At 35.4% G+C, this 25668-nt stretch overlaps 1 protein-coding gene across 6 annotated transcripts in view; it reads right to left on the bottom strand.

Annotated features, from left to right (window-relative positions):
- The window catches only part of WRN (WRN RecQ like helicase), a 142329-nt gene that overhangs the window by 4479 nt on the left and 112182 nt on the right, over positions 1–25668 (bottom strand). For 3 of the 6 annotated variants that reach the window (NM_000553.6, XM_011544639.4, XM_011544640.2), the window contains 6 exons: positions 24532–24607; positions 24184–24296; positions 21205–21319; positions 16905–17036; positions 14130–14292; positions 4430–4638 (listed from right to left, as the gene is read on the bottom strand). In NM_000553.6, coding sequence (NP_000544.2) covers positions 4430–4638; positions 14130–14292; positions 16905–17036; positions 21205–21319; positions 24184–24296; positions 24532–24607 — 808 coding nt within the window. Of the gene's footprint in view, positions 1–4429; positions 4639–5493; positions 5585–12772; positions 13136–14129; positions 14293–16904; positions 17037–21204; positions 21320–24183; positions 24297–24531; positions 24608–25668 lie in introns of those variants that run through there. The other 3 variants (XR_949471.4, XR_949472.4, XR_949470.4) reach the window with 3 other exon arrangements.

The raw sequence follows: 25668 nt of genomic DNA, 5'->3' as shown, positions 1-25668 counted from the left end.
GGTAGAAAAAAGGGCTTTTCACACATCAGCAAAGGCTAAAGAAAAAACTGGCTAAGATTGCAACTTTGTTCCTAGGTACCCAATTGCAAGCAGGGAAGAGAAAATCAAAAGAACGGATGAGACTTATATACACTGTAAGATACTATGACTTAGAAATAATAAATACTGGGGATATAAGGTGGCATACAGAAAAGGCATTTTGCATCTTTCTAATGATCAGTGATGTTGAGCTTTTCTTCATATGTTTGTTGGCTACATAAATGTCTTCTTTTGAGATGTGTCTGATCAAGTCCTTTGCCCACTTTTTAATGTTTTTTTTTTTTTCTTGTAAATTTGTTTAGGTTCCTTGTAGATTCTGGATATTGGGCCTTTGTCAGATGCATAGATTGCAAAAATTTTCTCCCACTCTGCCAAAAGAGGAGTACATCTGAACAGCAATAGAGCAGAGGAAGAAACCCTAAGTCATGTTGTAGCCTAATACCATGGAGTAGCACAGACTTTGAAACCAGGCAGAACCAGGTTTGAACTTTAATTGAGCCACTTGCTAAATGTATGACCTTATTATGCGTGTTACTTAAGCTTCAACGTCTTCACAGAGAAATGGAAATAATAGTACATAACATCACTGAATTCTTTGGAGTTAAATAAGAATAAATGTAAAATAGCAAAACACATCCTGATTTCTTCTTCAAACTCATTAATTGGTAGCGAATATCATTTCAAGTCTTATCTTCTATATTTCTATAAATATGATCATCAGCATTTATAATGGAATTATAATAATGATCTTATTTCATTGGGAAAAGCGGGGAAATGCTTACTTACACTAAGTGTGTCTTTTGAGTGTCAACAATAAGTATTTGAAGTCTTCAGTATGATATCTAAGTTACCTAATAGAAACAACGCCTTCCAGTGTCTATTTCCTTCATCAGTAGAACACTAAAATTCCCAGCAACAAAATTTTAAGGGGCTCTTTACATCTTTTTAATACTCCCAACTCTGTTACCAAGCTATTACCATTAAGTTACGAATAGGAAACATCAACTCATTTGCTGATTATATGTGTACATACGGATGTAAGCAAATACAGAAATATGTAAGTTACATTCACATTTAATTTCATTTATAAACAAGATCAATCCATATATTTAGTTACCGAGCCTGATACATTTGTCATGAAAACTATTTTCATAAGTCAATTTTACCTGTGAATGAGCATCTGTAAATAAATCTTCTACAAAACAATTTGTATAAAATATTGTGTATTTTAATTTATAATCAAACTCAGCGGTCAAGCAGGAAATGTCATACATTCTCTCTTATACAGTCAAGAAAAATAAGAAGAAAAAAATGACATAGGAGGAGAGGGTACTGGGAAGAGGTGGCAGCAGCTGCAACAACAGAGCTTTTAATCTTTCTGAATTCCAGAATTAAGACAGAACTAGATAGTAAAACCCAAAATCCATTGTCGACATTTACAATAAAACCAAGTTTAAAGGTATCCTTGGGAAACTAAAACTGTAAGAATGTAGGGGCAAACCACCAACAGCAATTAAGACCTGCACAGTACTGACATCTGTACGGGAGAAAGCAGAGGCCAGCAGGGAGGTGTCTGATAACAAGAGAACCCCAAGATAGCCCACAGGCATACACTGGAAAGACAGATTAATGAGAGATTAATCTGATAATAGCATCTGAAAATGGGAGGGCTTTTGTCCAAGCCAATAGCAAGTGAGTACAAGGAATCCACAGTGGTCTCTTAGGTGAAGAGAGCAGCTGGCTACTCTGAACCCTGGGACTAGCCGAGGCTGCCTTCTAGGAGAAGGCTCCACATTCAGGAGAAACCACTGGGGTTAAATCAAAACCAAGCAGGACAGGTACAACAGAGACAAAAGGAAGAGAAAGCCCAGATAAAAATGGCAGAGTAGATCTCATAAACCAAGTTTCCATATTTTAGACATTACACAAAAACATTAGAGACAGATGTGAAATTGGGAAAGCCATCTTGAACCACGCCTTCTTTTGAAAGTACAGGAAAACTAATCTCATACGAAAATGAGCAAAAGAAAAGTATCAAGGTCAAATCTTTGACACCAGAAAGACTTGCTTAGGTACAGAATAAAACTGTAGCCTTTCCAAATGAGCTGGAAAACATTAGGAAAATTATCTAAAATACAAAAGGACATCACAAATCAAAATTAGAAAAGTTCAAAACTGAGGGGGAAAACCGAAGAAAGAATCAGAAATAAAAGAAAAAAATTATAGAAGTCTTCAGTTAATAGTGTTGCTCCTTTGGTAAAAATAAAATATGTATATATAAATAAAAAAAGAATTTTTAAATCTAAAAAACGTTTTAAAATAATTTTAAAATAAGTGAATACTAAGCTATGTGGAATACAGAAATAAATACAATTATGTTAAAAGAGAAATAGAAGGTGAAAAGGAAGAAAAAAATTTAAAGAGAAATGAAGAAATAAAAAGAATGCATGAAAAGTGAAAAATATTGAAGCTGGGTAATGAAGATCCAACATACATGTATAGCAGGAGTTCCTGAAGAAGAAATATGAAGTAATGGAATAAAACACTAAAAAGTATGATTTAAGAAAACTTTATAGAAATGAAATTTTAAAAAAACTATCATTTAAGAAAACTTTCCAGAAATAAAAGAATACTAAATATTTAAAGAATCCACCATGTACCTATGGATATTGAATCAGAATTATCAATGCCAAGACATCACCTTTCTGTTAAACAAGGACATGATTGAGCTTCCATCTTAATAACAAACACAAGAGATATAAACACAACAATACGTCAACTAATAAAAAGAATTTGTTCTAATGACTTTATCCTTTGTCATAATTATAAAATGAAATAGACTAAGGGATATAAATCAGGTCAGTAGAGAAGATGAATGTTAACATATGACAGATTCTGAAAGTAGGCCTCCAACACTCTACAGAAATCAGCTTTTCATACAGGGAGGCTAATGAAGACATATGCTTTGGATGACTTACTCACCTCTTATCTACTTCCCAGCCCCAACACCCTTGTTCCCCTAAATGGGGAAAAGGGGCCAAATAAGGTATACCTTTTAGAATCTAGCAAGCTTAGTAAAATTTCTCCCCACCCAACCCCCCCCAAAATACCCACCATTCTCTTGTTGACATGTAATGTTACTGAAATAGCGAAAAATGTTACTGAAATAGGGAAAAAGCAAAAATGGCAATATATAGTTAAAATAATATTTCACTACAAATGTGCTTCAATATTGAGAAAAAATAGTAAGTTACACCGTTTTCTATACTGACAGGTTGAAGCTGGGAAACAATAAGAGGGTCTTAGGTATCTGGTATAGATTACAGAAATAAAAGGCTGAGCATTAGAAGCTAAATTTCATTACCTCCACTCAAAATATGTTTTCTTTAATGTTCCTCTTATAGCTAGTTCAGTTATAAACAATATAAAGATTTCCAACTAATTAAGTTCCATTAGATTATCTAGGACATGACTATATATACAGACGTAACTCAAGTACAGAATTTAAAAAGATCAGTTCCCTTATTTTTAAGCAATTCAAAAAAGTAGGGGTTTAATTGCTGGACATCCTATAAAGATTACCTTAGAACTAAGTGTAATTCCTAATTCTCTAATACAAAATAATCACCACCACCTACTACCACATTGAATTTACCAACTAAGAATTGAAACAATTTTTTAGTTAATCATTTCCAAAATATTTATAATGGAGTCATATAATTTTAGACCCGGAAGATACCGAAGGTCAAATTTTCAAATTTATGCCATCATTTAATAGAGTCATATTATTAAACAATATATCTGATTGCTATTTATCTCATGCCATACACAGAGCAATTATTTTTGAAGCATTTGATTTTAATAAAACGTACCATCTAACATAATACTAAATTTGTAATCTTTCTCTCATCATGCAAAAGCACTACGAAATGCTCAGAGCCACAAGCAACAATAATCCTGGTACCTCAGATATTCAATATCATACTAACAGAGCATGAAGAATGATAGAATGATAATAAACCAGTTTGGGAGGTATTTATAATACAATTTGTTTTCACTTTCATTAACTACATAAACTGCCATATGCTTAAATCCATTAACTATACCTCCGAAAGATTTTCCAGGCTATACGGTCAATATGAGGTACAGGTAAAATTTAAGCTGACATTCTACATAATAAGCTAAACAGATGGACTAAACCTCCCTTTTACTGTCTTTTTTTTAATCACTTTTCTCAGATCATATTTATGAAAAGCAAAGGAAATGTAGCACATAGAGAAAGTAATCATATCAGAATTCATAACAGTTCAAAAAAATACAGCATTCTAGTACTAGGATATGCAAATTGAACAAACTGACACTTTATGAAAATTCTATATATAATTAATACCTCAGTATTGATGCCTACTTCTTCCTTGCTTCTCTTAGAACTTGAACAGATCTCTTCAGAACCGGGAAAACATCTCCTTTTGTTGACATCACATGAAGGTTGAAGTCCGCTGTCAGGACCATGTTTAAGGATCTCAATTGCCATGTGGATAAGGTACGTGTCAATGTTTTCAGGAACTAACATTCTGATTAGGCTAATTTTACTCATATCTGTAAACGATAAAAAAACTCCATTTCAAAATAAATTACAGAGAATATTTTAGAAAACCTATGAGCTAGAAATACTGAAATATTCTGTAGAAAGGAAGGTGGAAGGTTGCCAAAGAAAAGTTTCCTCTTTCAAATGCCTATAGCCTTACGGAATGGAAATGGAGTAAAAACTCCACTCGGGTATCACCTGAAGCCCCTGCCTCCAAGATCCAAAGTCAGGTCAGTACTATTGACACTGCATAAATTGTGTTTCAAACTGTCTTTTGTGGGCTGCCTTGAGAATCAAAACAACCATTCGTGGAATTGTTCTAAAGGAAATTGTGCTTCCAATTCCAAATATCAATTATAATTAGTTTTCTCTTAAAATAATTTATTCTGATCACTTGTTGGCCTTTTGCCTAAGATCAAGTATAAAAATAATTTATTTAAATAGAAGCTAATCGTACCTGTAAATAACATTCTAATAAAAAAGATTCTTTCAATGGCTATTATTGTAATAACAAGAGACATCAATGATTTTAAAAGCACATTAACTAGATGAGATTTCTGGGAACATATTTCTTATTTTCAGAATCAAGAAACTTTACATTTTTTGCAACTCAACAGAACTAATTCAGACTGTGTCAATTTCTTGACACCTTCTAAAATTATGTAGCACCCTCCTATAGGCAAGCCAATAATTATGTTTCAGCACTTCCTTCCAACATCACATTCTTCTGCAATGCTCCAGAGTGCGGTAAACCCAAGCAGTTTAGAACCTACTCACTCATCTTCACCTAATTTACAAAACATATCAAATATTTGACACTCAATTCAAATCAGTGATCAGAAATCAAGTATTTTTCAAATGACAACCTGAAAAGACGTTCTTTAAATTGTTAGTTTTCAGGTTTATATTTTCCTTTCTTCCAAAGATTAGCTTGCTACTCCAAGACTCCTCAAAATACTGCAGTTAAAAAGCAAAAAACAAAACAAAACAAAACAAAAAACAGGAAGAGAAAGTTACACAGCTAATAGAAACTAGGTAAGTGGGTTAACTAATTAAAGTTTCAAAATCTTAGAAAGGAAAAGATAACCTCTATACATAGTAAAATCAGCAACGTGATGATCACATCTCTCAACCAAACTAAAATTGTATTTGTCTCTTGGTCATTATATCATCCTAGTATCATCAAAATTCCCCCAATTTTACTATTTCATCATTTTTTAATGGCTCAGTATTCTGTTGTATGTATGTATCCCAATTTACTTTGAGTTCCCTTTTATTTGTCTTCAAATTTTAAAATATGTTTGGAACCACTTAGGCACATTAGTCCACGTTGTTCAACAGTAAATTTTACAAAAGCTAAACACAGATCAAGTATTTCCAGTTAAAATTTAGCATCAGAAGATTTGTTGTATATATAAAGTACATACCTGATTACAAAGGCTTATTACAGAAAAAAGTATGTAAAATATCTCATTAATAATTTTCATATTGATTACATGTTGAAATGATAAAATTTTAAATATAGTAGACTAATTAAATTATATTATCAAAATAAATTGCATCCATTTACTTTTTAAAATGTGGCTACTAGAAAATTTAAAATTGCATATGTAGCTCACATTGTATTTCTACTGACAGTGCTGTTTTAGAAAGACCATATAAATTTTCCCACACTCGAAACCAAGTAATACACAACTACATTCCATTAAATTCATTTTCTTCCATGGGTATTTAGAAATTAGATAAATAAACTATGTATGATTAATTTCTTCATACTATAAATGTAATATTTATAAACCAATTTTTTAGGGAAAAATCACACAAGCTTGAGCTATTATCATGTAATGCGCTAAACAAATTAATTTTAAAAGAAAAAGTAAGATATTTTATTCTCTTTTGAATCACTTTATTTCTAAAATTAGAATGTCTTTTGTTCATAAAATGATGATGCATAAACATCCGCTTATGGTGTTAAACCACTATTAATGATTTAAAGTTAAATGTATAAAGTTAACTTCTAGATATAAGTTAAAAATTCATATATTTTTCTAATACATTTCTATAAGTACCCTTTATATTTCTATGGTAAATTCATCCTGCGTTTTATATATATGCAAATAAGTGGCATTTAGCTTTACAGGTGCATCTTACTCTGCTCTAACTTCCCATGTAAATAAGTGCTGAAAATATCTACTGCAGAATTAATGACAACACTGGCTACACGCCTTCAGTGTTTTAAAAGAGATCATATTAACCTTACTTTTGTAGTAGATCCCTTGGAAGCCACTCTTAATTTTCCAGTTACATGCACATTAAGAATGGGGGAATAAAATTAATCAAAATACTGTCTAGGTACTTCATTCAATGCCTTAATTTATTATTTAGCATAGTTAGAATCCCAAATCCATAAACAGAGTTTAAAATTATATAAACAAGGAAAAACAAAAAGAATACAAAGGTACAAAGCTCCTTTAAATATGAACAGTTTTCCAGACAAAATCTACTTAACAAATAAGAGTATGAAATTAATAGCTATGTTTTCTCAATTCATAATTACTCTATTTTTAGGTAAATATTGTGTCATAATAAAATACAGGAAACTTCTCAATTCAGGATTGTACAAAGTTTAGATTTCAATCAAACTTGTTCTTTAAAACTCTAAATTATTGTGGCATGGCTACAGTTAAATAAAATATGAAAATAACATATCTGAATCGTTATTATAGTATGTATATCCTCATTCCTTGTTATATCATTTATAATCCAACAATGTTTTCTCCAGTAAGAGAACAAAAAGTATTTTATAAAGAAAAAATAAGAATCCAAAAGCACAATCTCACATCCAGAAATGATAGTTTAATGATTATGAGTGTACTATCAAAAGAAATAAAAGAGGGCTGGGCTCAGTGGCTCACACCTGTAATCCCAGCACTTAGGCAGGCTGAGGTGGGAGGATCGCTTAAGGCTAGGGGTTCAAGACTAGCCTGGGCAATGTAGTGAGAACTCATCTCTACAAAAATACTTAAAAATTAGCCAGGTGTGGTCCCAGCTACTTGGAAGGCTGAAGTGGAAGGCTTGCTTGAGCCCAAGAGTTCAAGGCTGCAGTAAGCTATGATTGTGCCACGGCACTCCAGCCTGGGAAACAGAGTAAGACCTTGTCTCAAAAAAAAAAAAAAAAGAGCTCATGGTTATCACAACCTTCTTAACCTCCTCTATTCTGGATTTAAAAGTAGGCTACAAAAATATACTTTTTCATATTGTATGTACAACCTACATACAGTGTATTAACCGAAGGATAAGTTTTTAGTAAGTATATCTTAAGAATTTTTCATTATTATATTCTGCTTGATTTTAATATTTCTTACTTTAAAGGTAAGGGGTATTTAAAGACACTCAATAAATAAAGATATGAAACTGATTATAAATAAGTTAATTTGTTTCACTCATCAAGTTAGAGTTTATATACCCATATCCTATATCAGGATTAGAAATTGCATATTTCTTTCTTTTAAGTTAATTGGCAGTACAACTTTAACACGAGTAAAAAGAGAAACTTGTTCAGTTATTAATCTTAGACATGGTATTAAAACAGTTTTATAACTCTCTAAGCCTCACACTCTTTCTCTCCAAAACAGGGTGGGGATAGGAAAGGGAAAGTGTAATGATTTCCAGTTTCATTTCTAAATCTAAAGTTCGATAACTTTGTGCCTACATGATTTAAAAAGCAAATTAACAGTGCTTCAATTCTTTACCATAGGCAAATAAAACAGATGCTGTCAATATGTGGCTGAATAATATAATATGAAATTTTTCTTTACCATTTCCCTCTGCCCATAATGAAGTGATGTTAGAATGTCCATTTAGGACATTCAGGAACATATGCCCAAGAATTCTTTAGTGTGAATGAGCACGCATGCGTGCGCGTGTGCACACACACACACACCCCATTACAACCTGTTTGAATTCTTAAATTGTATGCCTCTGTAAGATATATTTTGGGGAACATTCTTTCTTATATACTTATTAAGTTCATACATTCTTAAGTGCCTATTCAAAAGGACAGACTATAAAAATAATCATATTTAGAGGGTACTTTTAAGACACCATAAAATTTTACCATCTATGTCTTCAATCATCATCATCATCATCATCATATTTGCCACCACCATTTGCTATTACCAGTGTGCCAAAGCTTTCTGAACAGTATCTAATTTACAGTCATGCACCACATAATGATGTTGCAGTCAACGACGGGCAGCCAACAGGAACAAGTATCCATTAGATTATCATGGAGCTGAAAAGTTCCTACCACCTAGTGACATCATGCCATCGTAACATCACAATGCAAAGCATCACCCATGTGTTTGTGGTGGTAATGGTGTAAACAAACTCACCTTGCTGCCAGCTGTGTAAAAGTCTAGCATGTACAATTATGTACAGTATATAATACTTGAAAATGATAATAAATGACTATGTTACTATGTTTATGTGTTTGCTATACTATACATTTTATTATTTTTTAGAAGTTCACTGTAAAACACGCAGGCCCTTCTGGAGGTGTCCAGAAGAAGGCATTGTTATCACAGGAGATGACAGCCCCATGCATATGACTGCCCCTGAAGACCTGGTGGGACAAGATGTGGAGGTGGAAGATAGTGAGACTGATGATCCTGAGCCCATGTAGGCCTAGGCTGATGTGTGGGTTTTTGTCTTGGTTTTTAACAAAAAAAATGTAAAAAGTAAAAACAAATTTAACAAAATCAAAAACAGAAAAAATCTTAGAGAAGAAGGATATAAAGAAAATATATTTGTATAGCTGTACAATATGTTTGTGTTTTAAGCCAAGTGTTATTACAAAAGAGTAAAAAGATTTTAATTCATAAAGAAGAATCATTACAGTAAGCTAAGGTTAATTTATTATTGGCAAAAGAAGATAAATTTTTTAACTTTTGTTTTAGTTTCAAGGGTACATATGCAGGTACGTTATACAGTAGGTAGACTCGTATCACAGGGGTGAGTGTGGCCTAAGTGCACAGGGTTTATAAAGTCTACAGCAGTGCACAGTCCTAGGTCTTCACATTCACTCACCGCTCACTCACTGACTTACCCAGAGCAACTCCCAGGGTGCAAGCTCCATTCGTGGTAAGTGCCCTGTACAGATGTACCTTTTTATCTCTTTTTTTTTTTTTTTTTTGAGACAGAGTCTCGCTCTGTCTCCCAGGCTGAAGTGCAGTGGCACAATCTTGACTCACTGCAACCTCCACCTCCTGGGTTCAAGCAATTCTCCTGCCTCAGCCTCCTGAGTAGCTGGGATTACAGGCACCCAACACCACGCCCAGCTAATTTTTGTACTTTTAGTAGAAACGGAGTTTCATCATGTTGGCCAGGCTGGTCTTGAACTCCTGACCTCAAGTGATCTGCCTGCCTCGGCCTCCCAAAGTGCTGGGATTACAGGCGTGAGCCACCATGCCCAGCTTTTTTAAAAAATCTTTTACACTGTATTTCTACTGGGCCTTTTCTATGTTTCACTATGTTTATATATACAAATACCACTGTGTTATAATTGCCTACAGTGTTCAGTAAAGTCACATGCTGTACAGGTTTGAAGACAGGAGCTATACCGTACAGCCTAGGTGTGTAGTAGGCCATACCATCTAGGTTTGTTTAAGTCCACCCTGTGAGGTTCCCACAAAATGAAATCGCCCAACAACACATTTCTCAGAATTCATCCCCATCATCAAGCGACACATGACTATATTTCTCACAATTCTATAAGAGAGGCAATATTAACTCCCTGTCTTAGAGATGAGGAAATTGAATATTAGGGAAATTAGGTCACTTGATGGAGGTCACATAACAATGAGATGCTAGAGCCAAGGTCTAAATACAGATCTATCTATTCCCAAAGCCTTTGCTCTTACTGACTAGACCAACACCACCTGTAAGTTTCAGGATATAAAGAAGGCAGCTAAATGATAGCAAAAATGCCAACAGAAAAAAAAAAGGGGGTGGGGGGAACTGCACAAATTCTATTTTTTTTTTTTTGAGACAGAGTCTCACTCTGTTGTCCAGACTGTAGTACAATGACACAATCTTGGCTCACCACAACCTCCACCTCCCATGGGGGTTCAAGCAATTCTCCTGCCTCAGCCTCCCAAGTAGCTGGGATTACAGGTGTGTGCCACCAAGCCCAGCTAATTTTGGTATTTTTAGTAGAGACGGGGTTTCACCATGTTGGTCAGGCTCGTCTCCAACACCTGACCTCAGTGACCTGCCCGCCTCGGCCTCCCAAAGTGCTGGGATTACAGGTGTGAGCCACTGTGCCCAGCCTGCACAAATTATTTCAGAGAATATTGCCTATTACTCAATGTCTCATCGAAAGATGCAAATTGCTTTAAGCCCTGAGAGACAATACATTTCTAAAGGAAGAAAAATTCCACACGATGAGCATGAAGAAGACATCTGAGTCTTTGGCTTTCCCTAAAACGCTATCTCATTCTGCACTGGAGAAACAAAGGTTTCGACAACCATAAATCTAATCCTACAAAGTAATTACTATTTTCCTCTCTCTGCCTTGATTTCTGAAGTTAGGAAGATTAGAAGGTGACCAGGAGAGTTGGCCAGCTTTCTCATAAGATGCCTCTCTACCCTACCTTGGATGTTTTACAGCTTACTTCAGGATTTGGCTAATTTAACCTTAGCAAATGGTATTAACCAGGTTCACGAAATGCTAACTTATTAACTTACATCGTTAATTCGTAAGTATCACACAGATAAATACTCAGATTAGCATGACTACTACGTCCATTCCTTACATACAGATCTGCACGGGAAGTTATCATCAGAAAGCTAGGAAGTGATATAGAAGCAGAATTCGTTGTTAAGATACTGTCAAATATAAATTTTTCCCAATTTTTAATGCCTTTCATTTCTTCTTCTTGTTGCTCAGATGACATTAGGTAATTTTTCTCCTTTTACCCTTATTGTGTAATTAACATTTAAAGATTTTTCCAATCTTGAGTCATTCTAGCATTCCTGCACAAACTAAAACTTGTCAGGGTACAAGGTCTTTTTTTTTTTTTTTTTTTGAGACAGAGTCTCACTCTGTCACCCAGGCTGAAGTGCAGTGGCATGATCTCGGCTCACTGCAACCTCCGCCTCCCCAGTTCAAGCGATTCTCCTGCCTCAGTCTCCTGAGTAGCTGGGATTACAGGCGCATGCCACCACTGCTGGCTAATTTTTGTATTTTCAGTAGAGACAGGGTTTCACCATGTTGGCCAGGCTGGTCTTGAACTCCTGACCTCAAGTCAAGTCATCTGCCCGTCTTGGCCTCCCAAAGTGCTAGGATTATAGGCATGAGCCACAGTGCCTGGCGCAACACCTTTTTTTAATAGATATAATTTTTTGGGGGGAGGGATTTATTGTGCTTATGGGTGGCTTTGGTCTTTTAATTTTCCATCTCAGACCTTTATTTTCTGATTTTATTATAATTTTTTTAAATTATAACTTTTACTTTAGATTCAGGTAGTACATGGGCAGGTTTGTAACATTAGTATATTGCAGGATGCTGAGGTTTGAGGTACAATTGATCCCATCACCCAGATAGTGAGCATAGTACCCAACACGTAGTTTTTCAACCACTGTCCCTTCCCACCTTTTCAACCATTGTTCCTTCCCTCCCCTCAGTAGTCCCCAGCGTCTACTGTTACTTTTTTTTTTTTCTCCTTTTGAGACAGGTTCTCACTCTGGGTGTCACTCAGGCTGGAGCACAGTGGCATGATCACAGCTTATTATAACCCCAAACTCCTGAGCTCAAGCACTCCTCCTGACTCAGACTCCCAAGTAGCTGAGACTATAGGTATATGCCACCACGTCTGGCTAATTTTCTTATTTTTTGTAGAGATGGGGGTCACACTATGTTGCTCAGGCTGGTCTTGAACTCCTGAGCTCAAGCAATCCTTCCATCTAGGTCTCCCAAAGTGCTGGGATTACAGACACAAGCCACCACGCCCGGCCTGTTCTCATTTTTATATCCATATGCACCAACTTTAGCTCCTGCTTGTAAGTAAGAACATGCAGTATTTGGTTTTCTATTTCAAACATGACATTGACATAACTTATAAATAGGTTATTTATTTACTATACCTGAAGTCCCCTGGCCACTCCCCCGCATCCCTGGAACTTAGATGAGCACTACTCCAACTTGCCTCCGTGTCTGTCCTTTCCCTGTGCTTCCACCGTGATCAATGGAAGTGAAGGAGCTGTTTGTTCTTTAGACCTTCAGTCAAGTCACACTCAAGTCTAGAAATAATCCTGTCTTCTAAGTGACTTATTTTTGCTCAGATCCATTTAAGTACAGTATTGACTGTGCTTTCAGAGAGTGATCTTCCAAATTCTTGGGGGGAATTGTTCACAAGTTGTTCACAAATGGGAAAGACTTTAAGGTAGTAAAAAGTATCTTCACTGCAGCTTTGGAGATGAGGCTATTGGTATGGCCACTGCTCTATCCTAACAGTCAAAAGAAATTTATCAGATTTATTGAGTTATAAGACCCCAAGTTTGTATTTACACATCTAGGAGAGAAAATCCTCTAACGTATCTCCTATTTACTTCTGTTAAAAAAAAAAAGGATAATAATTTAAAATATTTCTACAGGGCAAGCAAAGGGGCTTGCTCTCCGCGAGCTGAGGTTCTGCAGCAAAGTGACAGGAAATCCTTCTACGTAGCGGCCCACAGAACTTGGTCTGTCCCTTCCATGTCACAGTAACTGATACCAATGACTGTGTTGATTAGAAAGGCTACTCAAGCGAAACCAATGACAAGGACTCAGAAGGATTTAGGGAAGAACTAGGAGTCAGGAAGCTACTGGGAATGAATGTGGAGAAAAATATGGTTTTTGCAAGTGATGAGATAGAAATTAGAAAAAAAATGAAAGTGCACGTTTTGGATGGTGGGGAAGTTGTAACCTTAAGCTGAAAAGGAAAATAAAAATTTCTCAGTGTATTGGCCAGGTGCCATGGCTCACACCTGTAATCGCAGCACTTTGGGAGGCTGAGGTGGGCGGATCATCAGAGGTCAGGAGTTCGAGACCTGCCTAGCCAACATGGAAAACCCTGTCTCTATCAAAAAATACAAAAAATAGCTGGGCATGGTGGCACACGCCTGTAGTCCCAGCTACTCAGGAAGCTGAGGCAAGAGAATCACTTGAACCTGGGAGATAGAGGTTGCAGCGAGCCAAGATCACGCCACTGCACTCCAGCCTAGACAAGAGAGCAAGACTCTGTCTCAAAAAACAAAACAAAACAAAAAAATTTCTCAGTATACTTTCCTCTGAGTGATAATGGGAAGAAAGATTGTTTTCCTAAAACAAGAAAAAGAATCACAAAAGTAAGGTTTTCATAATAGCATAAAGGATTAATGCTGTTAACAGTGAAAAATATAGTGGATTGCTTGTTTACTTCATCAAGTCATTAAGGGTGCAGAGCTAGGCCATGCCTCTCACCTGAGTTGACGGGAGGGTTTCGGATAACATCAGCAATAATCTTCTGAACCTCTGGAGTCAGGCCTGCTCGCTCCAAATCAAGGGGGCAGCCAGCTTTCACCGCTTGGGATAAGTGCATGCCAATTGTCATGAGAGGCAGAATCCTGCTCTCAGCTATGCTCTTCTAGAGAAAGATCAGCAAAGAACCCAGTGAGTTGTAAAAGTGTCCACTCCAGTCATGGAAATAAAATGTCCAAAACATTCAGGTAGTAAATGCTCAGTGTGAAATAAACAATGAACTAAACCTTTACTTAAGTTTTTCATTTTCAGAATTTCTTTAAAACTACCCCCATTATAGCTCTCTATAGGTTCTACTTTTTATACTTATTATACTGTATTGAATAAAACAAAATCACCCAGCTTTACCGAAGAATTCAATCCTCGCCCCTCTCTATTCACTTTAGAAAGCCGTTAGTGGCAGAGAAGTCATTCTCTGTAAGTCTAATAGTTGTCACAACCTTCTGAAAACATAGTAAACTGTAACCCAATACTATATACACTTGAAATAACACATGGTGGTTTGGTTACATGAATTTCCAAGAAGACAAATCCTAAAATGCTTAGAGATAACATAAGGCTCCAGATGCATTCTATAAAATGTTCCTGAGAAGACTCTAATAGGTGTTTGAAATTGGCTCTATTCATAAAATAATAATAACCACAGTTCCACAAGGGCTGTCAGCATTTTCCTACTATTGAACTTCACATGAACAGTGCTACATATTTATACAGTTCTTTAAACAAATGTGGCTCCAAATACATTTCAGATATTTATTAGGTAAAACATTCTTTTAAACACTCAGAAAGCTTTGTCACTCAGCTCTAACTTATTTCATGATCCTCTCTTTCAATACATTTTCAAAGTCTGAATTTAGACTGTATTTGCATAAATGTTGATACTTTCACAGAATAGAGCATTTAAGGCAATGTTTTTCATCCTTCAAAGGTAGGTTTTAAATTACTTTCATTAAATGTCTACTAGAAAAGTGTGCACCATGTGTGCATAATATCAGGGTTATTTGAAACCAGGTTTCAAATTACCTCCAACTAATTGTAGTATTGCTCCTGATTAATTAGTCCTAAGCATGTTTAATTCTGCGGTTAACTGGCAAGACCCTCTCAAACTCCTGGGAGGTAAGGATAATTATACCACCATATCACACAATAAAATACAACCAAATAATACCAAAAGACACAAATGAAGATATAACAGTCTTCACATTTTTAACCATGAATACATAAACTAACACATGAAACCCCATATTATGGCTGAGCATTAGAATACACTTAATTCAGAAAATTTGGAGCCAATAACAAATTTTCTTAGTAACTGTTTTCATTTCTACTATACATACATGGTCAAATTAGGTATATACAGGCATATTTAACATGTACATAGAAGTTATTGTTTACATAAGAAACTGAACTTAAAATTCCCATTTATTATGTGTTCTATTTCAAAAATAGTATAATGGAATTATTTGGTTTCTTGGGCAATGGCCTTTGTAAGGAACTTTAAGAAACATGACTGTCAAATTAGAGCATTTATTCAGTAAGTAAGATAAGCTATGGACTGTTTATTCTTATTTATTTTAAATGATAAAACCTGAACAAGAGGTGTGTAACACAGGCACTAGTGGATGGAACCACAGACAATAGAAAAGCAGGCATTGGACCATATCACTTGTTCCAAATCAACTTAATGTCAACAGGATGTGAACTCAAATTAAACTCAACTGTAAGCCTCATTTTGTCCCATCCCATTAAAACTTACTCTCCATTTTGTATACAAAAAACCTCAACAGCCTTAAAGATTTATCTTAGAACAATGAAGAAACATTACATATGGTCTTTTTTTTTTTTTTTTTTGGAGACCGAGTCTTGCTCGGTCGCCCAGGTTGGAATGCAGTGTCGCAATCTCAGCTCACTGCAACCTCTGCCTCCTGGGTTCATGCAAGTCCCATGTCTCCGCCTCCCAAGTATCTGGGATTACAGGCATGCGTCACTACGCCCAGCTAATTTTTGTATTTTTAGTAAAGACAGGGTCTCCCTATGTTGTCCAACTGGTCTCAAATCCCTGGCCTCAAATGATCTGCCTGCCTCAGCCTCCCGAAGTGCTGGGATTACAGGCATGAGCCACCACACCCGGCCTACGTATGGTCATTTGTTACAGCAATTAGATTGTTTTCAAAGAGCATCAAAACAGTACTAGAAGAGATAGAATGAAAAGCAAGTTTTTAAAAACATATTTCCAGTTGCTTGGCTATGCTTGCAGAGATCCAGTGTGTATTTTTTGTACACATACAAGAATATGTGACTATATAAGCATGCATATGCACACACGTTTACGTTTGTTTTTCTGTTTTGCACCTTCCTTTTTCTTAATGCATCTTGAGATTGTTTCTTAACACTGTGAATATTTATAGTTTTTAAACTGTTAGTCCCATTTTAAAATATGGCTGATGCAGTATCCCTGAGCTACAAATGTGTTTATCAGTACCCCGATACAATCTCTAGAAGATATTCATGGCCAAACTAAACTTGCTGCTATTACTTAACAGGGAGGCTTAACAGAAAAAGAAAACAACATTCTCTTTTAAAATTAAAGATAAACTGAGATTTATTGTAGGGTTGGAGGAAATTGATCCCAAGTCAGAACTTTAATACTAAAAAGCTGATAAAACACAAGTTTAAGTAAACTAAAAAAATTCCCTGTAACATGAAAGTCACACTTACCAAAGGCATCTTCTTTTCTTGGAATAAAGAGTATGTGATGGCCATAGACTGTGAAAGTGTGCATATTTTATTTTTTGCTACCAGACTCGTCTTCTGTTCTTCTTGAGGTTTTGTACTTGAAAAGAGGTCTGTCTACAGAATTTTTAATGTAGCACAAATGATCAGTAATATCAATACAATAATAGAATATATGTATGATAATTAGCCATTAAGAAAAAAATAACACAAGTTAAACCCATAAGCAACAAATAATTCCCTTTTTATGGGGAGCTCAAAAAGAAGTTGGATTTTTAACATATTGATTTTAAAAGGTAAAATAATGCTAGAGCACACAAAATTTTAATAAAATATTTGTAATAACAAACATTTCCTAGTCTTTTCTTTAACGAATAAGAAGGACTAAAAAAAGGAACTATAATGTGAACTACTCTGTCTTTAAATAAGTCCCCAATCTCCTGGAAGTGAATATTGAATGAATGAATGAATGAATGAACAGAATCACTATTCAAATTTAGGTACTATAACCACTAATATATCGTAAGGAAATATATCATAACACTCTCTCTACATATCTAATTTTAAATGATACATCCCAACTAGAAATCTAAGTATTCTATAAAATCTTAAATATGGTTCCTTAAGAAATGTTTAAAAGAAAAAATGGGAAAAACTGAAAAACAAGATTAATGAAAAAATAATGGAATCTTTTTAAAGGCTGAAATAAAGGTAAAGAGATAGAAAACTATTTTTTTAACTACACATAAAAGGTAGATGAAAACAGCATACTACAGTCATAATAAAACCTGTAACAGATGAAATTAATAATTTAAAGAAGAGCCTCGTCTCTTGATGAATGATATTGGTATCATTTTTATAGGTTATTTATCATGTGTTCTACTATATTATGTATACATATATGAGGAAATGTGTCCATGAGCTCTTCTTTTGGAAAGATTTATTTTTTGTTTCCATATTCTGTTATTAGGGAGTTTAAGAAATTTATTAGTTGAGTACTAATTTACTGCTTGGTGAGAAACATAAATGTTTCTGTTTTACTTTTTACATGCTATATATATGATGCCTAATGTTTCAATTATCTGACCCAAGGCAATAAAATGTGCTTGCCAAATACTTTGGGGGATTACATTTTACATGTGGAAGAATCTCAGAGCTAAACTCTCACATCAACACAAAAGATAATTTCAATCAAATAACCCTAGCAGTGGAGATTTCATGTTCTGAGCATACGGTGGGCCTAATAAAACAGTCCCAGGTGTTACATGTTTCTGTTTCTCTTTTACAGCTTCATAATAGCTGCATTTTGCAATTTATAGAAATCCCACCAAGACAAAATGGGTATTTACTGAGGAAGCATTGTTGGCTATTCAGACTGGTCACCCCACTATGGCAACACCATGGTCTAGGCCAGCATTTCAGTCCTCATCCTTGCAATCTCAAAAGTCTAATGTGTCTTGTTACAGGGTAGTTGGGTTTTGGGGAATAGAGCTGCACTACCCATCTATTGAGCTTGGTTTTATGTGTATGTGTGTATAAATATCAGTGTATATATTAGAAAGGAAATTCATTAATTTATGAGGCATACAACTAGACAGTTTCACTTGCCCCAACCAGTATGTTCTGTCCTATACAAGAGTTATACAGGAAGCCAGCTCACCTGAAAGTTGAGAACAAGTTTGGAATATAACAAAGACACTTTTTTTTTTTTTTTCTATCACTCAGGCTGGAGTATTGTGGCACAATGATGGCTCACTGCAGCCTCAAATCCCCGGGCTCAAGCAATCCTCCTGCCTAAGCATCCTAAATAGCTGGGATTACAGGCTAGCACCACCATGCCTGGCTAATTTTAAGAAATTGTTTTTGTAGAGGTCGGGTCTCACTATGTTTCCCAGGTTGTTTTCTAACTCCTGGCCTCAGGTAACCTGCCTGCCTTGGCCTCCCAAAGTGCTGGGATTACAGGCATGAGGGATTGCACCTTGCCATGAGGGAACTTCTGATAGTGCCTTAAGTAGTCTCTTAACAAAGATTAAGTTGAGGCATTTTCCTTGACAATTAAACTATAATATTCAAATCTAGTTAGCAAAAATGTCTTTTTATCTGAAGAGTGCTTAGGTAAGCTTTGCCAACTTTTGTCCTTATTGCCTTTTCTATTTATATCTTCCTATAATTGACCACTCATCTTTTTTTTTTTAAGGTTTATTGTGGGATATATCAAACATATACACGAGTCGAGGGAATAAGATGGGCACCACCCGGTTTCATCAACTGTCATTCATAGCCAGTATTATTTCATGAACATCCTTAGATATTTTCTAACTACCCTGTCCCTACCCCTGAATTTTTTTAAAATAAATAATATTTGTACATATTTATGCCATACATGTTCATATAGTCTTTTTTTTTTTTTGAGATGGAGTCTCGCTCTGTCGCCCAGGCTGGAGTGCAGTGGCACGATCTCGGCTTACTCCAAGCTCCGCCTCCCAGGTTCACGCCATTCTCCTGCCTCAGCCTCCCGAGTAGCTGGGACTAGAATACGATTTGATCACATTTTTGCTTACTAGAATCACATTCTTGCCCTACCTTCCTAAGAGTATTATTTCAGATTACTTTGCCAAGTATTTTGGATATCCTTAAACTCTTTAATTGTACATTTATGGATTATATCATTACTTTGTTCCAGAAATTCTCAAAATTCTCAAAAAATGTATTTATATAAAAATATTTTAGCATATTTTTCCTATTCGGCCATCTTAATGTGTTTAATATGTGTCATATTTGTAATTTTTAATGTGTATTGTGACAGCAAGAAATTTTACTTCAAAATTTAAAAAAAAAATAAAAGGCTAATGAAACTCATGAATAACAAAACTTGCTTAATAAACATTAAAGTTGTTTTTTTTTAAATAATTCATTTCAATTTGCAGAATAACCCAAGTATAATTTCTAATCACAGAAATCAGCAGTCATCTTCTCTATCCAGAAGGTTCATAAAGGTTTCATACCTATCCCTTGGGGAATTTACCTTTTCCCCTACTTCATTTTCCTCTTCTGAAGGGGAGTTAGGAGAGATCACTCATTCATTATTAAATAATATCACTAATTCATGAAAGAAGATACTACTTTCAAGTGTCCAAAGAGAGGGAACTTACTCAATTACCGCTGGTAGGTATGATATTCTTTCTCAAACTATTAAGACATTATAATTTCATTTCCAAAAACTCAGTAAGAAATAAGAATTTTCACATGATGTCTTATATAAGAGTATGAAAAAGAAAATTCAAAGTTGCCAAAGATACTCTATATCAAAAGAGGGAAATGCTACATTCAAAAAGCAGAAGGGTTTTCTACTTATAGTTAGAGAAAGATTTTTCTAAAGTAGGATCCAACTGTGCCTGCCCAAAGCTTCCAGGAGCTTCTTGGAAGTAAAAAATAATCCCTTAATATTGCCTTGAATGTGTTTAACTCTTTCAACATTTTATACTTATCCCATGTCTTCTATTTTCTAATGTCATCTGTTGTTTCCTGGATGTGGGGGAGGAAGTGTCATTTCCATTGTATAGCTGAGGAAATGGAGACCCAAGGAAATTAAAGGACATGTGCAGGTTCACCAGGTGAACAACTGTAAGGAAGAACTAAAGTCCTGATTCCGTGACTCCTAGTCTAGTAGTCTCCCCTCTACCTCCCACTGCCTCACCTTCTGCAGAGTATGCATTATAGAGTCTGCTACGTGGAGTTTAGAGAAAATCCTAAATGACATTTCTGGAAATGGTCACTTAGGGCAGAACAAGCAATAATAAAAGGATATGAAGGAAACACTATTAAAACTGAAGAGAATAATATGAAATCCACTTACTATCAAAAGACAGCATTACTGGAAGGGGAGGGAGATTAGAGAAGATGCTAAACCAAAAGAAAGTGGCTGAGCTCCTGACCAACTCATAGCAAGGATAACTTTCCAGCTTTAAATTCCAACTACCACATTTGAATGTAAAATTATAATTTATCAACCTAAAATAATGTTTCCAATTTAAAAACAAAACCTCCCAATGAAATAGAAAGACATCAGCAGCCTGGACAACTACTTTTTAGTATCATCTTTAAAAGTAGATAACTGACATGTTTTTACAACAGATTGACTGTAAAAACAATTTTAATTCATTTTCTAAGTGTCCAGTATGGAAATGCAAATAAAGTGAGCAAATGTTGCTTCTGGAGGGTACTTTTGAAATGGTTACAAAAAATGCTTATTCTCTAAGAGCTCCTGCAAACCACAGTATTTTACCTGAACACTATTTGTTTGGCAGAAATGTTTGATGACTTCCAACAGAGGGGCCAACATGGCAGCTTTGCCTTCAGAAACACCATCAATCCTTTTTACGTTTTCAACCGTAGTTGGTCTGTGTTTAACAACAACAACAACAACAACAAAAAGGTCAAGAAACCACTGAAACAGTATCACTCCAGCAATATAGCTGATGTTCAGCTTCCTAATGATTCTCTCAATAAATGTATAGTTTTTCCAACAACCAAAAACAACGTATAATACAACTAATCATGTTTTATAATTTCTTTCTTTGCTTTCCACCATTTAAAGATTTGTCTTGCCCCCATCACCACAAAAACACACTGTTAATTGGTAAACAGGACATTGTCATAAAGGAACAGGTTAACATCTCATATATTCACTTTATTACTGATTTTATTATTATTTTTATTGTCATGAAAAGGAAAAATATGAGGCTTTAACTGGGAACAACTAAGAGGCTAAGAAAATCTCAAAAGAAAGTCTCATTCATTATTTTCTTCTACAAAGTGTTTACCTGTAACAGTATATCTGCCAATTCCTTCAGACTTTTAGCTCAATATTTCTTATTGTGTCCAATATCCAAGAACCCATTCGATGCCCTCCTTCTAAAAATCTGCCTATCTAATGATTATTATTTTTCATTAAATATCTCCTCTGGGCCAGGCACTGTGGCTCACGCCTGTAATCCCAACAATTTGGGAGGCCGGGGCGGGTGGATTGCCTGAGCTCAGGAGTTCAACACCAGCCTGGACAACACAGTGAAACCTCATCTCTACTAAAATACAAAAAATTAGCCGGGGGTGGCAGCGCGCACCTGTAGTCCCAGCTATTCCGGAGGCTGAGGCAGGAGAATTGCTTGAACCCAGGAGGCGGAGGTTGCAGTGAGCCGAGATCGCGCCACTGCACTCTAGCCTAGGTGACAGAGTGAGACTCTATCACCAAAAAAAAAAAAAAAAAAAAAAAAAAAAAAAAAAAACACCTCTATTAAAGTATGGTCTTAGAATATTTATTTATTTTTATTTTTTATTTTTTTTTTAGACGGAGTCTCGCTCTGTCACCCAGGCTGGAGTGCAGTGGCGCGATCTCCGCTCACTGCAAGCTCCGCCTCCCGGGTTCACGCCATTCTCCTGCCTCAGCCGCCAGAGTAACTGGGACTACAGGCACCCGCCACCACGCCCGGCTAATTTTTTGTATTTTTAGTAGAAACGGGGTTTCACCGTGTTAGCCAGGATGGCCTCGATCTCCTAACCTCGTGATCCGCCCGCCTCGGCCTCCCAAAGTCCTGGGATTTACAAGCGTGAGCCACAGCGCCCGGCCAGAATATTTATTTTTTAACAAAAGAATTAGTGTCAGATGTAGCACTGTGTAATGTCATTAGAAAATTCTGCACTCAAGTAACATCTATTGGATGCAATTTAGTGACAGAAACAATTTTTTAAAAGGAAGTAAAAGACAAATACAATTACCAAGCAACTATTCTTGGGAAATAATTTCTTCTAAATATTTAATGATCACCTCCTGTTTATGAGGCATTGTGCTAGGTGCTACAGGAGACACACAAAAAGGTAAGGAGCTAGTATCTTTATTTGGAGTTTAAAATCTAGAAGATATAATAATACTTGTTTACCACTAATTACAAAAAAATAAAATATAGCATTGTGTGGTAAGTGCTACAGAAGCATCTTTAGAATTCATCTGAAAGTCCTCTATGAATTCAAGAGAGAGGAATTACTTTGCTGATAAGATCATGAAAGACCTTCTCATAGTCTTTACAGTAATAAAGCGAGAAATAGTAATAAAGCGAGATCTTCAAGAATTCTTAAAAGGAGTTTTGAGGAATCAAGGAAACTACAAGGAGAAGCAACACTGTAAATAAATATATGGAAGTTGAAAATGGATCTTCAACAAGTGATAAACAATCCAGGTAAGATAAACCATTTCAAATTCTGTAACTTAGAGGGAAAAGTAAGTTTAAGTTCATAAATAGAGGGCCTTGAATTCTAAGCTAGAAAAAAAACATTTAAGCAGAAGTAAGATATGATAAAGGAAGATTTAGTTTGGTACTCATATATCAGATGAAACAGAGAGAGAGAATGAAGGGTTAATAGTTAAGAGGCTTCTGCAACAGGCCAAGGGAAAACAGTCAGAATTAACGTGGTGTCATTAAGAAGGAGGAGGAAGGCATAGACAGGCAACAAGGAACCCGTTTTACAAAAGGTATGAAAAGTATTTAAATGAGAAAAAGAGGCCAGGCACAGTGGCTCACACCTGTAGTGCCAGAACTTTGGAGACTGAGGCGGGAAGATTGCTTGAGCTTAGGAGTTCAAGACCAGCCTAGGCAATATGGCAAAACCCTGTCTCTACAAAAAATACAAAAATTAGCTGAGCATGGTGGCATGTTCTGTAGTCCCAGCTACTCGGGAGGCTGAGGTGCGAGGATAGCTTGAGTCCAGGGGGTCAAGGCTGCAGTGAGCAGTGATCGCACCACTACACTCCAGCCTGGGCAACACAGTGAGACAAGTCTTCAGACAAAAAAAAAAAAAAAAATGAAGAAGAAGAAGAGGAAGACGAAGGGGTTTTATATTGGAGGAGAGAAAATTCAGATCAGAGGTTTTAAGCATTAGGAACCTCTGACTACAAATGTGATGGTAAGATAATCAAAAATAAAGAATCCAAAAAGAGGAGTTTCGGCATTTGGATAAAATGCAGGGTGGGTAAATAATGAGTTAGATTTTATAAATATTGAATATGATTGCTGAAAACGTAACTGGTTTTTATTCATACAGAAACACGGTACTAAAGCTTGGCAAAGAGATAAGCATCGCAGCAGGGGGAATCTGAGTCACCTCCCAGATGTGACAGTGGAAGCTATGGTCATATTATCAACTTAGATATATTTTCCAAATCTATTTTGTTAGAAGGAAATAAATAGAACACATGCAAAAGATAGTTTACCTCATTTTGGCCATATCCACCAGTATCTTGTTTGTTGCCAGAATAGCTGGGGGAACATCCATTTTATTGGCATGTTTCTGCCTAGCTTCTACCAATTTGCCATATAACACAATCTGAACAAAAAACAAAGAAACAACACTTTTTAAAGTGTACTTAAAAGATCTAGTCCTTTATTTTTAGAGCTTCAGATACCACATTTTTCCTTAGAATGAATATAAACTGAAATATAAACTCAGACTCTTAGCTTAAGAACAATTTTTAAAATGCTGGCAAAATACAGAATTTTAAGCATACATAGAATCATAACTATCCTATCATAAACTAATTACCTTTTTACAAAAGCCTTACCTGAGTCTCCTGCTCTTGTGCCGAAATAACAGGCTGTGAGGAACTGTAAGCTTTTTCTGGTGACTGTACCATGATACTAAAATATTTAAAAGAAAATAAATAATAAAAGCTTTTCTTTCTCCTCATTGACTTTCTATTTCATCCCCTAAATGAGAATGTCTTTCCAAATCAGTACAAACATTTATTCTTCATGATACCAGTAAGGTAATTTGTTATTTAAATGACAACAGCCTAGATTTTAAACATTTTGGATCAAATACATTCATTATAATGGTAAAGTTAAAATTGCAATTTGAGTTCATCACAAAATTGGTGTTTTAAAAAGAGCATTTGTCCCATTCTCTTCCTCAACCAACTGCTTTTGAAAGAAAATATTCTTTCATCCATACTGAAGATGACACGTTAACGTCTTTTAACTTACTGGGATACAACAGGTTTTAACCAAGGTTTCTTAACCTACTGGGAAACAATGTATGATCCTTGCTATAACATCATAGATTTTTGGCTGGTGGGGAAGAAGAAACAAGAAGAGAACAAGAAGCATTCTTAGAAATTAAAAATTTGATAACTAAAATTAAAATGTCACTAGGTAAGAGGGGATAAAAGTCAAGGAACACTCCAAATGAGTAAACAAATAATGAGAGATTGAAATAGGAAAAAAGAAAATTAGTAAAAGGAATACTCAAAACCAAGAAAATAAAACAAAGACAATCACTAACACAAGGAAAAAAATAAAGGTAGTGGTGGCCATAATAACACGGTTGGGTTAGTAGTGTGTATATAATATTTGTGTAGTTTTAATAATATAAATACAATATTATCATATTATATTAAAAATATATATAAACAAATTATTAATATGACGAAATATAATTATATTGGAGGAGGAATGAAGGAGGGGAAATCTACCATAATAGGAGATGAGTAGAAAATTTCTAAAATTGCTAAGTCAAAAAAATAGTACTCTAAGCGTGTCATTCAGAAATAAGAAGGCACACGCCAGGGAAATCAGCTGGAAGATTTGAAGATGACAGCTTCTATGAATAAGAGCAAAGTGGGTTTGGGAAGAGTGTGGGCTGGTATGCTTGTCATAAGCCACTAATTTCCAATTAACTTTTTATATCAAGTATAGGTATT

Source organism: Homo sapiens, chromosome 8, assembly GCF_000001405.40.
Source record: "Homo sapiens chromosome 8, GRCh38.p14 Primary Assembly".
NCBI lineage: Eukaryota > Metazoa > Chordata > Mammalia > Primates > Hominidae > Homo > Homo sapiens.
Note: the sequence above shows the minus strand (reverse complement) of the source record. Positions and strands in the feature narration are given on the sequence as shown.